This window comes from Homo sapiens, chromosome 11, assembly GCF_000001405.40.
Source record: "Homo sapiens chromosome 11, GRCh38.p14 Primary Assembly".
In the NCBI taxonomy this organism is placed as follows: domain Eukaryota; kingdom Metazoa; phylum Chordata; class Mammalia; order Primates; family Hominidae; genus Homo; species Homo sapiens.
This window is the reverse complement of record NC_000011.10, coordinates 66,433,541-66,442,177: the sequence shown is the minus strand read 5'-3', so window position 1 is coordinate 66,442,177 and position 8,637 is coordinate 66,433,541. Positions and strand designations below refer to the sequence as shown.

Below are 8,637 nucleotides of genomic sequence, written 5' to 3'. Positions count from 1 at the left end.
GAAACAATGCTTATCACTGGCTTGCTGTCAATAAATATGTGGGTAAATTTCTGTTCATGGCTCTCAGCTCTGAAGGCGGTGAGACCCCTGATTTCCCACCCCACACTCTATATTTCTGTGTGTGTGTCTTTAATTCCTCTAGTGCCACTGGGTTAGGGTATCCAAGACCGAGCTGGTCTTGGCAAACAGTGTAAGAGGGATATTCAGAACTTCCCTATCCCTTCCACACAGCAGGCATCTAGCATGTTCCCTCTTAGGGAAATTCCCATGGGACAGGGAGAGATTGACTTTTTAAAAAAATTTTAAATTATTTATTTATTTATTTATTTTAGACAGAGTCTTGCTCTGTCGCCCAGGCTGGATTCAAGCAATTCTCCTGCCTCAGCCTCCTGAGTAGCTGGGATTACAACAGGCACGTGCCACCACACCCAGCTAATTTTTGTATTTTTAGTAGAGATGGGGTTTCACCATGTTGGTCAGGCTGGTCTCAAACTCCTGACCTCGTGATCCACCTGCCTCGGCCTCCCAACGTGCTGGGATTACACGTGTGAGCCACCGTGCCGGGCCAGAAAGTTTTATTAGAAAGAACACTGCAGAGGAGTGCAGAGGGATGCCTCAGCAAGAGAGGACTGACCATGCTGGCGGATTTTCCTTAGGGGTATTTATGGACCTTAAAGAGGGAGCTTGAGGGCAATTTGGACCACACTAGCCACTTAGGTCTGATAAATGATTACATTTGTAGTAATTCTGGTGCCTTAATGTCAGCAAGGGTTGCAAAGTGAGTTTTGGCATGGCATTCCCGAGATGTTTAGAAATTCTAGTTGCTTATAAATTTTAAGTTGAAGAGTCCTGGAACCAGATGCCAACATTGGATACTAGAGAGAGGTGACAGCGTGCTGGCAGCCCTCACAGCCCTCGCTCGCTCTTGGCGCCTCCTCTGCCTGGGCTCCCACTCTGGCCCCGCTTGAGGAGCCCTTCAGCCCGCCGCTGCACTGTGGGAGCCCCTTTCTGGGCTGGCCAAGGCCGGGGCCGGCTCCCTCAGCTTGCAGGGAGGTGTGGAGGGAGAGGCTCGGGCGGGAACCGGGGCTGCGTGCGGTGCTTGCGGGCCAGCGCAAGTTCCGGGTGGGCGTGGGCTCGGCAGACCCCGCACTCGGAGCGGCCGGCCGGCCCCACCGGCCCCGGGCAGTAAGGGGCTTAGCACCTGGGCCAGCAGCTGCTGTGCTCAATTTCTCGCCGGGCCTTAGCTGCCTTCCCGCGGGGCAGGGCTCGGGACCTGCAGCCCGCCATGCCTGAGCCTCCCGCCCCCGATGGGCTCCTGTGCGGCCCGAGCCTCCCCGACGAGCACCACCCCCTGCTCCACGGCACCCAGTCCCATCGACCACCCAAGGGCTGAGGAGTGCGGGCGCACGGCGCAGGACTGGCAGGCAGCTCCACCTGTAGCCCGGGTGCGGGATCCGCTGGGTGAAGCCAGCTGGGCTCCTGAGTCTGGTGGGGACGTGGAGAACCTTTATGTCTAGGATTGTATGGGATTGTAAATGCACCAATCGACACTCTGTATCTAGCTACTCTGGTGGGGACTTGGAGAATCTTTATGTCCAGCTAGGGGTTGTAAATTCACCAATCGGCACTCTGTATCTAGCTCAAGGTTTGTAAACACACCAATTAGCACCCTGTGTCTAGCTCAGGGTTTGTGAATGCACCAATGGACACTGTATCTAGCTACTCTGGTGGGGACTTGGAGAACCTTTGTGTGGACACTCTGTATCTAGCTAATCTAGTAGGGACATGGAGAACCTTTGTGTCTAGCTCAGCGATTGTAAACGCACCAATCAGCACCCTGTCAAAACAGACCACTCGGCTCTCTGTAAAAGGGACCAATCAGCAGGATGTGGGGCGGGGGCCAGATAAGAGAATAAAAGCAGGCTGCCCCAGCCAGCAGTGGCAACCCGCTCGGGTCCCCTTCCACACTGTGGGAGCTTTGTTCTTTTGCTCTTTGCAGTAAATCTTGCTACTGCTCACTCTTTGGGTCCACACTGCCTTTGTGAGCTGTAACACTCACCGCAAAGGTCTGCAGGTTCACTCCTGAAGCCAGCAAGACCACGAACCCACTGGGAGGAACAACTCCAGACGCGCCGCCTTAAGAGCTGTAACACTCACCGCGAAGGTCCGCAGCTTCACTCCTGAGCCATCGAGACCATGAACCCCACCAGAAGGAAGAAATTCAGAACACATCCAAACATCAGAAGGAACAAACTCCAGACACGCAGCCTTTAAGAAATGTAACACTCACCGTGAGTGTCCACGGCTTCATTCTTGAAGTCAGGGAGACCAAGAACCCACCAATTCCGGACACACTAGGGAAGTTTAATTACTTTTCAATTCCTCAGATAAGGAGTTTTTGTCTCTGGTCACCAGGTGATTTTTGCTCTCCTCATGATTCAAAGGTCACCAGGTGATTTTTGCTCTCCTCATGATACAATAAGATGCTGGCTTATTTGGTCACAGATGATATATCGAATGTTCTGGGTCTGTTAAGCCTCACAACAACTCAGGTTTTATCTTAATCGTACGGTTAATAATAGCACATGCTGACTAGGTGCCGGGCATTGTTTTAAGCACTTTGCTAACTTAGTCCTCACAGCAATCCTAAGAGGTAGGTGCTACATATTACAATACCTGCTGTAGTGGGGAGGAGACAAAGCATAAGAAACTTGATTAAGTTCACATGCAGTGGCGCAATCCTGGCTTACTGCCGCCTCCAACTTCTGGACTCAACTGATCTTCCCGCCCAGTAGAGATGGGGTCTTGCTGTGTTGCCCAGGCTGGTCTCAAACTCCTGGGCTCAAGCGATCCTCCTGCCTTGGCCTCCCAAAGTGCTGGGATTACAGGCGTAAGTTACCGTGCCCAGCTCAGGGTCTACACTCAACCGTACTGCCTTTCAACAGCATGTGAGGAACAGAGAGAGGAGAGACTTCCATTACCAATCAGGAGCTCCAGGTGTATTTCAAACCCTAGGATTATCACCGTGTGCAGCAGATGGCGCCCTGGCGCATAGCAATTGGCCGGACCTGCACACGGAGTCAAAACTACCATACCCACAATGCTATGGGGTATCAAGGTCCCACCCTACTGGTTAGCTGTCCGAGGTAGTGCCTGTGCGCGTTCCTGTGGGAATGTGTGTACCTAGGCCATTCGGGCCCTTCCTTTATCTGCATAAAACAAGTTAAAAAGTGTTTTATCCTCCTCTCATCCTCCTTGTCTTACTAGTTGGCGAGCAATAGGGTTGAAACAAGGCTGCTGTTTGTTGGCCTCACCTGCCCTAGCCTAACGTGAGGACCCTTGACCTCTGGCCCAAGATGGTGGCGCCCAGAGCTTCGCTCTTGCTGCTCCCCTGAGGTGAACTGAAGCCAGCAGCCCCGCATCATGTCAAAGCTCGGCCGGGCCGCCCGGGGCCTCAGGAAGCCCGAGGTCGGCGGTGTGATCCGGGCGATCGTGCGGGCAGGCCTGGCCATGCCCGGGCCCCCACTAGGCCCAGTGCTGGGTCAGGTGCGGCCGTGGCGGGAACCCGACGTGGGGGTTGTCTAGGATGGTGGAAGCTAGGACGCGGATGGAGGGCGCTGGCCCTGGAACCACCCGGGCCTCGGTTCAGAGCTCGGCTCTGCTTCTCACACGCTTTATGTCCTTGTGCTGGTTACAAAGTGTCTTCCACCTGGGCTTCCTCATCCCTTCTTCAATGTGCTGTAATGAGGATAACGTGGGAAGATGCGTACGATCTTCTGGCTCACGGAGGGGTAGTTGAATCTGGGTACAGATGGGAACCCAGAGAAGTGAAGACGAAGGAGGGAACGGACGGCGCCTCCTGGGCGATAGGAAGCCGTCCCCTCCTCTCACCACTAACCCCCTCTGCTTCCCTCACAGAGAGGCGTTTCCATCAACCAGTTTTGCAAGGAGTTCAATGAGAGGACAAAGGACATCAAGGAAGGCATTCCTCTGCCTACCAAGATTTTAGTGAAGGTGGAGTCTGGACTCTGATCCCTGGTTTCCTTCTCCCTCTGTTCTTCCTCGGCCCTGGGACTGGTCATCTGGGGTTGTTTCTCTGCTCCTGACTTGACTTCCTATTACTGGGCTCCACTTTCCCCATTTAGGACTAGATCATATTTTTTCTGAACCAGCCCCATCTTGCCATGTTGCAGTTCCTCCCTTTGCCCCTCCATCTCACTGGGGCTTCCAGAGCAGAATGAGGGCAGGAATAGAGGGGACAGGGATGTTTGCTGCAGATTTATTTTTTTCTTTCTTTTTTTCTGAGATGGAGTTTTGTTCTTGTCGCCCAGGCTGGAGTGCAGTGGCACGATCTCCGCTCACTGCAATCTCCTCCTCCCGGGTTCAAGCAATTCTCCTGCCTCAGCCTCCCGAGTAGCTAGGATTACAGGCGCCCGCCACCACGCCCGGCTAATTTTTTGTATTTTTAGTAGAGATGGGGTTTCACCATGTTGGTCAGGCTGGTCTTGAACTCCTGACCTCAGGTGATCCACCCGCCTTTTCCTCCCAAAGTGCTGGGATTATAGGCATGAACCACTGCGCCTGACCCCGATTTATTTTTTTCTTGTGATTCTGTGGTCTTTTTGAGGGATGCCATTGGAAAGTGAGATGAAGGAAGCAGGGGGCAAGACATTAGAAGTTCCCTGGGATGGGGCAGTAGGAAGAGAGAATCTCATATTTCTTTTTTCTGTTAAGCCTGACAGGACATTTGAAATTAAGATTGGACAGCCCACTGTTTCCTACTTCCTGAAGGCAGCAGCTGGGATTGAAAAGGGGGCCCGGCAAACAGGTGAGGGCCAGGGTAAGCATCTGAGATTCTGGGGGCTCCAGAAGGAAGCAGTAACACCTGAAGAGCCACTTGTTCCTTCCTCCCAGGGAAAGAGGTGGCAGGCCTGGTGACCTTGAAGCATGTGTATGAGATTGCCCGCATCAAAGCTCAGGATGAGGCATTTGCCCTGCAGGATGTACCCCTGTCGTCTGTTGTCCGCTCCATCATCGGGTCTGCCCGTTCTCTGGGCATTCGCGTGGTGAAGGAGTAAGTATCCTGGCATGTGCAGTGTGACGAGAGGGCCCAGAAAGCTCTGGACTCGGGCAGAGCTGAGAGGGCCCATTGCAGTGGGAAAGTCAGCTTTTAAGTCAAGGGACCCTAGATTCTAGAGGATGGGGTGGGGGTGGGAGGCCACATTCATTGATCTGGAATACTCTTATTGGGCACCTGTTATGTATTAGACGTTGTTCTGCAAATGTTCTAAGAAATGGAAAGATCTCCATGAAGGATCCAAGTGGGAGAAGTTCAGTGTGACCTGGGTCTGTCGTCCTAGAGGCAAGTGGAGAATGGTATGAGGGAAGGACCAGTGCGAAGGACTTTTGAGCTGTGTCAGGTTCATGCTTGCTCCTGAGGCAAACAGGGACCCCTGTCATGGGGCTTCGGATGACTTCAGGAATTGTTTCATTGAAGTAAGATGTTGGGTGGGAGGGTGTCTGGCCTAGACAACCGCCGGGACAGAGATAGCATTCAACCCTTTACTGGCCTCTTGCTGCTGTGTTACATCCCATGTCAAGGCTGACAATTGATTATTTCCCAAGAAGAATGGGGTTAAGCATGGAGCAGACACAGACTTGAATTTTCTCAAATCTTTTTTTTTTTACTGGGAGCATGGAGATGGGTAAATCTGACCCCTGTCCTGGGAGAGACACACATGCTCAGCCCCGTGACGTCATTGTACAGCATATTCTGGGGCACAGAGTACCCCAGTTAATCTGGACTGGGGCCTGGCTGATGCCTCAAAGGATGAGTAGGGATTTAATAAGGGAACAAAAGATAGGGGTGTTGGGGGTTGGGAGATGTTGTCCCTGGAGAGGAAATGAGCAAAGGTATGGAGGCTGGGAAGTCAGGGAGGCAGAAGGGGCCAGGCAAGCTGGGCTTGGAGACAGGGGCCCCTTCAAGCCCCTGCAAGACATAGGGTCCTGTGAGCTCCCACTGGTGACCAATCATGCGCCAACCATTTGTCTTTTTTCACTTGCAGCCTCAGTTCAGAAGAGCTTGCAGCTTTCCAGAAGGAACGAGCCATCTTCCTGGCTGCTCAGAAGGAGGCAGATTTGGCTGCCCAAGAAGAAGCTGCCAAGAAGTGACCCTTGCCCCACCAACTCCCAGATTTCAAAGGAGGTAGTTGCAAAAGCTGTGCCCAAGGGGAGGAAGGAGGTCACACCAATATGATGATGGTTTTCATGACTTTGAATGATATATTTTTGTACATCTAGCTGTATCGAGGCATCAGGCCTGAATAAACATCCTTTCTTACCCACTGTCATCTTCTATCTTGGGACCTCAGGGAAGGGAACCAGTACTGGTGGTAGCCAATATGGGCAGACATTAGGAAATTGGGGTCTTCATACTGCTTCTCAGATGTGCAAACTGAGGTTCAGCCAAGCAAAGTAACTTGCCCAGGTCCTTTTTTTTCTTTTTTAAGTTATAATTTTGTTTTATTGCCCAGGTTCTGAATTGGTGCCAGAGGTAGGAATAGAACCCAGGCCTTCTCATTTGAAATCCTGTGTTCTTCCCCTCCCCAGGGTGGGAACTATGGTTGCTAGGGCTGAGGTGTATTGCTTACTTCTTCCATCAAAAATCTCTTTTATCTCTGAACAACTTGCCACCTCTGCAGAAACAAGTCCCTGTGGAGATCTCAGTTCAGCCCCAGGCAGGGTTACTACATGGAGTACCCAGATCCCAGGGGCTACTTCAGGCCCTTCTACTAAGCTCCTGACCCTGGCTCTGGGTCAGATGTTGGCTGAACATGAACTATTGTAGGGCTGACAGCTACAGACCACAGAAAGAGCAAAGCTTCAGTAGGTTCCTGCCTGATGGAGAAGTCCTCGGGAAGCCCTTGGCCTTCTATTTCCTCATTGTCCTTTCAGAGAAGAGAGCAGGAGTTGGGGGAGAAAGGAGATTCGCATTTACTGACCATCTGTTATGTGCTAGACACTTCATTTTACACTGAGAAAATATGGAAAGCATAGATAAACACCTAAAAGAAAATAAAAACCTCATGTTATCCCACCACCCAGATGAGACTTCTGCCAATATTTGGTGTATATCTTTTCTGCTCCTTTTTTTCTTTGTGTGTGTATTTATGTATAATGCTTTTTGAAAAAACAAACTGGGGTCATACTCTATATAGCTGTACAACGCTGTATACTTTCAAGTTAGCAACTATTTAGAACATTTAAAAATTGTCTTTCTTTTTTTTTTTTTGAGACGGAGTCTCGCTCTGTCACCCAGGCTGGAGTGCAGTGGCGCCATCTCAGCTCACTGCAAGCTCTGCCTCCCAGGTTCATGCCATTCTCCTGCCTCAGCCTCCCAAGTAGCTGGGACTACAGGCGCCTGCCACCACACCGGCTAATTTTTTTTGCATTTTTAGTAGAGACGGGGTTTCACCATGTTAGCCAGGATGGTCTTGATTTCCTGACCTCATGATCTGCCCGCCTCGGCCTCCCAAAGTGCTGGGATTACAAGCGTGAGCCACTGCACCTGGCCTAAAAATTATCTAAAACAATTTTAAATGATGGCTTAGTGGCTTAGTTTTTTTTTTTTTTTTGAGATGGAGTCTCACTCTGTCTCCCAGGCTGGAGTGCAGTGGCACAATCTTGGCTCACTGCAACCTCTGCCTCTCAAGTTCAAGTGATTCTCCTGCATCGGCCTCCCAAGTAGCTGGTGTTACAGGCGCTTGCCACCACACCTGGCTGATTTTTTTGTATTTTTAGTACAGACAGGGTTTCACCATGTTGGCCAGGCTGGTCTCGAACTCCTGACCTCAGGTGATCCACCCGCCTTGGCCTCCCAAAGTGCTGGGATTACAGGTGTGAGCCACCGTGCCTGGCCAAGACTTCATTTAAAAAAAAAATTTTTTTTTAATTAATTAATTTTTTTTTTTTGAGACAGAGTCTTGCTCTCGTCACCCAGGCTGGAATGCAGTGGCAGTGGCACGATCTCAGCTTACTGCAGCCTCCACCTCCCAGGTTCAAACAATTCTCCTGCCTCAGCCTCCCAAGTAGCCAGGATTACAGGTACCCACCACCACGCCTGGCTAATTTTCGTATTTTTAGTAGAGACAGGTTTTGCCATGTTGGCTAGGCTGGTCTCAAACTCCTGACCTTGTGATCTGCCTGCCTCGGCCTCCCAAAGTGCTGGGATTACAGGCGTGATCCATCGCGCCTGGCTTTTTTATTTTTAAATGTTTTAGAGACAGGGTCTTACTCTGTAACCCAGGCAGTGGTGCAGTAATAGCTCACTGCAGCTTCAAACTCCTGGGCTCAAGGGATCCTCCAGCCTCAGCTTCCCAAGTAGCTGGGAATACAGGTGCATGCCACTATGCCTGGTGAATTTTAAATTATGTTTATTTTTTATTTACTTTTATTTTATTTTTATTGTTGTTGTTATTTTTGGAGATGGAGTTTCATTCTTGTCTCCAAGACAAGAAATGGCACAGTCTTGGCTCACTGCAACCTCTGCCTCCCACGTTCAAGCGATTCTCCTGCCTCAGCCTCCCGAGTAGCTGGAATTACAGGCATGTGCCACTACACCCAGCTAATTTTTGTATT

At 50.9% G+C, this 8,637-nt stretch overlaps 1 protein-coding gene across 6 annotated transcripts, besides 2 other annotated features; it reads left to right on the top strand.

Annotated features, from left to right (window-relative positions):
* Nucleotides 3,082–3,341: an enhancer, noted in NCBI's record as "active region_5044". NCBI's record gives its function as "activates an Ori minimal core promoter by ATAC-STARR-seq in GM12878 lymphoblastoid cells {active_cell/tissue: GM12878}" and the evidence as "EXISTENCE:reporter gene assay evidence [ECO:0000049][PMID:35858748]".
* On the top strand, nucleotides 3,330–7,103 carry MRPL11 (mitochondrial ribosomal protein L11). Of its 6 annotated transcripts, NM_170739.4 has the most exons (6): nucleotides 3,330–3,546; nucleotides 3,919–4,014; nucleotides 4,735–4,828; nucleotides 4,915–5,074; nucleotides 5,269–5,362; nucleotides 6,066–7,103. In NM_170739.4, the coding sequence occupies exons 1-5, from the start codon at nucleotides 3,424–3,426 to the stop codon at nucleotides 5,339–5,341; spliced, it is 546 nt and encodes a 181-aa protein (NP_733935.1). In that variant the 5' UTR covers nucleotides 3,330–3,423; the 3' UTR covers nucleotides 5,342–5,362; nucleotides 6,066–7,103. The 6 variants fall into 6 exon arrangements, 4 of the variants coding, with proteins under 4 accessions (NP_733935.1, NP_733934.1, NP_057134.1 ...); NR_120589.1 differs by lacking the exon at nucleotides 5,269–5,362 and having other exon boundaries at nucleotides 3,330–3,396; NR_120588.1 differs by lacking the exon at nucleotides 5,269–5,362 and having other exon boundaries at nucleotides 4,743–4,828.
* Nucleotides 3,432–3,571: a silencer, noted in NCBI's record as "silent region_3592". NCBI's record gives its function as "represses an Ori minimal core promoter by ATAC-STARR-seq in GM12878 lymphoblastoid cells {active_cell/tissue: GM12878}" and the evidence as "EXISTENCE:reporter gene assay evidence [ECO:0000049][PMID:35858748]".
* Nucleotides 7,104–8,637: the final 1,534 nt, after the last annotated feature.